This window comes from Homo sapiens, chromosome 8 (genome assembly GCF_000001405.40).
Source record: "Homo sapiens chromosome 8, GRCh38.p14 Primary Assembly".
NCBI classification, from domain to species: Eukaryota; Metazoa; Chordata; class Mammalia; order Primates; family Hominidae; genus Homo; species Homo sapiens.
In genome coordinates, this window is record NC_000008.11 from 122,121,714 (window position 1) to 122,127,713 (window position 6,000).

Here is a 6,000-nt window from a genome sequence, read left to right on the forward strand (position 1 = left end):
TTGAATTACCTCTGTTCTTCCATTCTTGTTCCCGCTTGTGATGTCTGATTGTTTTCCTCAACACACGATTAAAGCAAAGCAGCTCCTGCCAAGATCATTGCTGATAAATGCCCTGAACACTGTACTGTCTTGTATCTTATTTGTTCTTTTGGCAAATTTTGAGCATATTGACACATATATAGACTGGATGGACCCACATTCTAAAGACCTTAAAATCATCCTTCCATCCCTCTTTTCCTTTCTCTCTCTGTTTTACTAATATATAATAATTGTACCTATTTATGGAGTGCAAGTGATGTTTTGATGCATGCATACAATGTATAATGATTAAATTTGGGTAATTAGGATATCCATCACTGCAAACAGTTATCATTTCTTTGGGTTGGGGACATTTCAAATCTTTTCTTCTAGCTATTTTGAAATATACAATAAATTATTGTTAACTATAGTCACTGTATTGTGTTATAGAACTTTCATCTCTCTTTATATGGACAGTTTAAACTTAACTTTCAGGAAACCAAGGATAGTCAAGGTTTCCTTTACAAATTACTGAGAGTTTGGAAGTCATTTGCCTAGATGAAATAATGGAGGAGGTGTTGAGTTCACAGAAAGATGTTATAAATAGTGATTTATACCAGAAAGAAATGCAATTTTAAGAATCAATGGCAGATAAATGGTAATTTAACCTACAGGAGTAGAAAAAAGTGAAAAGCCTATGGATTATTTAAGAAAGTTACAAATAGCCAGAAGAAGACAGTGTGTGCAAGTCAATTCAATTCAACTAACTGATTTTTCCCTGAGTGCTTTGTATTTGCTAGGATGGGTGTAGAATTTGAGCAAAAGATTGAAAGTCGAAAATTAAAGAGGAAGAGGAGGAAAACCAACCTCAAACTTTTTACATTACTTTGCAAAAAGAAGTGTAATGTGAGACTTCTTTGGGTGAATTTACAAAATGCATTTAACCATATTTTCATCACATTTCTGTGAATATAAATTAATACATTGTCATTATTACATTTACACAGCCAAGCCACCCAAGCACTATTTTTAACACACAATTTATTCAGAATATCATATTCCTTATCTGTATCCATTATTACTGCAGGCTACCCAAAAGTGAAATCTTTGTTTTCATCAGGCCACTTTTTATCCTTTACATCTGACTCAGAACATGCCCAAACTGGCTATATTTGTTGAACGATGACCAAAATTTGTTTTAAGATTACAACATTCCCTTTTATTTTTTACGCTTAAAATATTGTTTTCCATGATAACAGAATCAAAAGGAATGTTGCCCCGTAGTAATCTTGCCTTCCTGTTGTTTCAATCTATAGTGAGCAATAAAACTGTCCACCTCTTAAATCTTACTCTTACTCATTTCTCTCTTTACAACCATAAATTTCACATATGATGGGGGAAGCTGTTAGTTGCCCGGTTGGTGAACTGGGTCCTCAGAAGCCTACAGTTTTATGGAGAAAGCCGACTTTGGGTTTTTCTCCCCAACATTTTTTAAAAATCCTACTCCTTTCAAATAAGAGCAAGAAAAGCAGCTAAACATGTGACCAATCTGATTAGAAAATTGAAAATCAAATGGCACTAGGACTTCAACAAATTATGAAAAATAATGTAAACTAAGAAATAAATTTTTGTTCTGACTAAATGTGTTTTTAGAAGCAAAACATTCTAATATATATGAATGCTTCTATAATTCATTATTTTGGCCTTAATTTCTTCAGTTGCAGCAGGTAAAGACGAATAACTGTTTTACAAAATGCCATCCCACTCTAATCTAAAATAATATTAATGTAAACCAGGGTTTTCCAACCTTGGCACTACTCGCATTTGGGGCCAGATCATTCTTTGTAAGAGGTTGTCCTGTGTATAATAGGATGTTTACCAACATCCCTGGCCACCAAATGTTATTAGTAGCCCCCAAGTTGTGATAATCAAAAATGTCCCCAGAGTATCAAATGTCCCCTGGTGGGAGTAATGAGAACAACTAATCTAAATGTAAAAATACAATTTTATGTAATTAAACTATTGAAGGAACAATCTAATGAAGAGATTTTAGAGTTTTGGCTCATTTTGCTCTTGTTCTTCTGTTCCCCTCCCTCCCTCCCTTCCTTCCTTCCTTCCTTGCTCTCTCCAACCCTCCCTCTTTTTATTTGTTTTTCCCTTCCTCCCTTTCTTTTTTTCTTCTTTGCTTCAATAGATGAACCTTCATTCAACACAAATTATACATGGCAGTCCACTATGTAAAATTTTGTGTGAAATTCCAATACGTATAATTCTAACAGATGGGCTGCACTCCTTGACATGGTGTGATCCTGAGACTTATTGTTTTTGCTTTCTGTATGTTATGAGGTCTTGACATTTTACAAAGCTTACTGACCAGAGATAGACTGCTGCTGTCAGAGATAGTCCTTTCTTAGAGACAAGAAAGGACTTGGCTAAGGGTACATCTCTCATATACAAACCTGTCAATCCCTAGCCGATAGCCCCAGTTGCCTCTTTATCTGACTCTCATGCACCAAGGCAATATTTCCTTTGCCCTAAATCATCTCAGGGTCAGGTACCAGGCAACTAGACTACCCCTATAGCCCAAATCATGCTGGAATTATTCAAACTAGCCAGCCCTAAGCTGTTTACTCTGCCCTACCTTGCTTTTCCTGCAGAAAACTCAATAAAGGCTCTGGCATAGACTTTCCCCTGGCTCTTGTCTTCTGCTTTGTTAAAGCAAACTAAATATGGCCTGAGAATGACTTCTTACTTCTATATTTGAGTTTTTGTGGACGAACTGCAGCCTAGCTTAATAGATAGACAAGATTGCAAACCTAACTTAGGAGTATGCACCTGTAACAATAGCTAAGTCTTGGTCAGTCCCTGTGGCCATACTTCAACCCTTCATACACTGCTGAGTGTTCAGACTGTGTTCAAATAAGGCGTACGCCGAGCTGTAACCCATCCAGTTATTCTGCACCTCACTTCCAATTTCTGCTTGTCATCTCCCTTTTTGTGTCTATAAACTTTCTTCCACCACATGGCTGCACTGGCGTCTCTGTGACTCTGCTGTGATTCTGAGGGCCGCCCAATTCACGAATCGTTCATTGCTCCATTAAACTCCTTTAAATTTAATTCAGCTGAAGTTTTTCTTTTAACAGCTCTCCGATCAAAACCTGGCACTTTCCCTGTAGCCCTGCATGGCATGTATGACTCCCATTCTGGGGTCTACGAATGTAATAAACTTCCTCCTTCTAAGTGTTGTTCTCATTTTCTCCTGTAGCCACACTGACTTTAGCTTATCATATCCAACATTTACATTCTGAGAACACTTACCCTCTTGACTCTGCTATGTCTTTTGATTATTCAGTCCAGTGACCACTGAACAGGAGCTGTCTATACATTGGTTTCTTAAACCTTCATAAATAAATTAAGGTAGGTATCATCCTCAAATTACATATAAGAAATTAGAAGCTTAGCTATTAAGTGATTACCCAAATTCAATTGTTGTTGTTTTCTTCCACTGTAATATATTTTCTTAAATTGAATCTCAAATAGAGATGAACCACTATACTAAGCTTGTGTTATAAGTATATGTACCAAACAATATTAAAGATTAAATGTTACCATCAATTCTTTTATAGATTGCCTTCAACCACCTTACCTTTAATTTGGTGCCCCACTGTGCTAATCTGTTTTGCTTTGCTATAAAAAAAATCTGAGACTGGGTAATTTATAAGAAAAGAGGTTTAGTTGGCTGACAGTTCCGCAGGTTGCACAAGCGTGGTACCAGCATCTGCTCAGCTTCTGGTGAGGCCTCAGGAAGCTTTTACTCATGGCAGAAGGTAAAGGGGGAGCAGACATGTCACATGGTGAGAGAGGGAGCAAGAGAGAGTGGAGGAGGTGCCAGGCTCTTCTTAACAATCGGTTCTCACATGAACTAATAGAGTGAGAATTCACCCATTACCATGGGGAGGGCACCAAGCCATTCATGAAGGATCCACCCCCATGACCAAAACACCTCCCATTAGGCCCTATCTCCAACACTGGGGATCACATTTCAACATGCAATTTTGAGGGGACAAACATCCAAACTATATCATCCACAATAAACTGCATTTAAATTAAAATGCAAATCAAAATGTGTCATTTTTCCTCAGAACCTCATGATGACTTCCCATCACCTGCCATAAACAAGTTAAGCCCCTTAAGGTAGCTTGTGGGGTTCTCCAAGATACAGCCTCTGCCTACCTTTCCAGGTTTATAGCTCACTCTTGAAGCATGCAACTGTTCCTCACTCACTCTGCGTCCACTCCCACCTCCACACGATTGCCAGTGCTTCTTGACATAGGTACTTATTCATCTCTGTTTGGAAGAGACTCTTCTTCTGAGCTATTTATTTTGCATGCTTTATAACTCAATTTATGCATTTTTAATCTTGGTGAAATCTTAATAACTCTTAATTCTCAGTTCTATATTCTTCTATTCTTAATATCTGTCAATAACTTGTATATCCCACTATCATTACTCTCACCACATAGTAACATATGTTTTGATGATTATCTCTTCTACTGTCTCACATTTTTTTGAGAACTGGTTGTATAATTAATTTTATAATCAATGCTTTGAATAGAGCTATGATATAGAAGTCATTGTATAAATCATTGTTGAATAAATGGATTAATTTTCTCTTGGAATCTTCAAGTTATGACTAGGTTAAATTTTATAATGATTCTTCAAAAAAACTAATTATCTTTTAAAAATAGGACAGTCTCCTTACCTTGCCTAGAAAGTTCTACTGAGTGCAAATCTCTAGGTAAGAAAGTGTAGAGAGCTCTATAGAATTGCTTCACCTTATTTTTGGAAAAACAGTTATAGGACACATGTTTTTCTTACTGCTTGCCCACAGGCACAATCATCTTTGAGAATAAAGGATGAGATATGATATTTCAGGGAATTTTAATAATGAGAAATAGAGTACAACTCATTGAGTCTTCAAGTAGAAGGAAAAATAGTTTAAAGTTTCCAAATTAAGGAAATAAGTAAGCCACCTGGAAAACACATGTGTTTTAAGCTCTGAAATTAAAGCAAATGAATTGGGAGAGGAAAATTATAAGTGAGGGTTTTTAGAAAACATAGATTTTAGGAGATCTTGTTGAAGTGAATCGTATTCTTATAAGAACTAAAAATGACTAAGGGCATAGTATATAAATGCTTAGGCATTTGTGAAGTCAACGATTACAAAAAGAAAGCTTTGCAGTCAGGTAGACAAAGGTTTCAAGGTGGTGTTTGTTTGGTAACTTGTGATTACCTTGTTCCGGCTGCTTTGTCCTTGGGCATCCTCAGTGATTCCTCTCACCCCCATTCTTATTCCCTGAAACTCGTATCATTTTACATATCCTTCCCAATATGGTCAGAGGACTGCACCGGAATCTGAAAGGGAAGCGGTGTCATGCCTTAGCCAGGTAAACTTCTTTCTTTGACTCTGGAAATGAAATCCATGCTCTCACTTGATTATTTCTGTAAATTAGGCTAAGTGTCATTCATCAGGGATAAATGCTCATCTATTCTCAGAAGCCATCTTTAACTAACATCACTAAAGCCCAGCATGCACACAGCACCCAACAGTGATGTAATGTGTGAACAATTATAAAATGAGTCACTCAAAGCCTCTGCCTTTGCAAAAAGCCTTTCCTTTTAAAAACAGCATTTTCCAAACTCATTCTTCCTTTCTCTGCTTCGTAGGCTCCAGTGCTCAACATTCTACTGCCAATCTTTCTTGAAGTAAAAGCAAATAAATGCCTAGACTCTCCCAGCTGATTATGTTTGAACTTCATGGAAGGACACCTCTGCTATAATTATGTGGGAAAGTTGCATTTCTTAAAACCAGAATTTCTGTAAAGACTACCAAAATGTTAGGCACTGTGTCATTTTTACAATACTATGAGGTAGAATTATTACATCCATTTGACAGATGATGGGAACAAGTAGTAATACAGT

The 6,000-nt window shown here is 36.8% G+C and overlaps 1 annotated feature.

The window, feature by feature from the left end:
- Positions 5,146–5,800: an enhancer, noted in NCBI's record as "OCT4-NANOG hESC enhancer chr8:123139098-123139752 (GRCh37/hg19 assembly coordinates)". NCBI's record gives its function as "activates a minimal SCP1, AML or CMV promoter by ChIP-STARR-seq in naive H9 embryonic stem cells {active_cell/tissue: H9 hESC(naive)}" and the evidence as "EXISTENCE:reporter gene assay evidence [ECO:0000049][PMID:30033119]".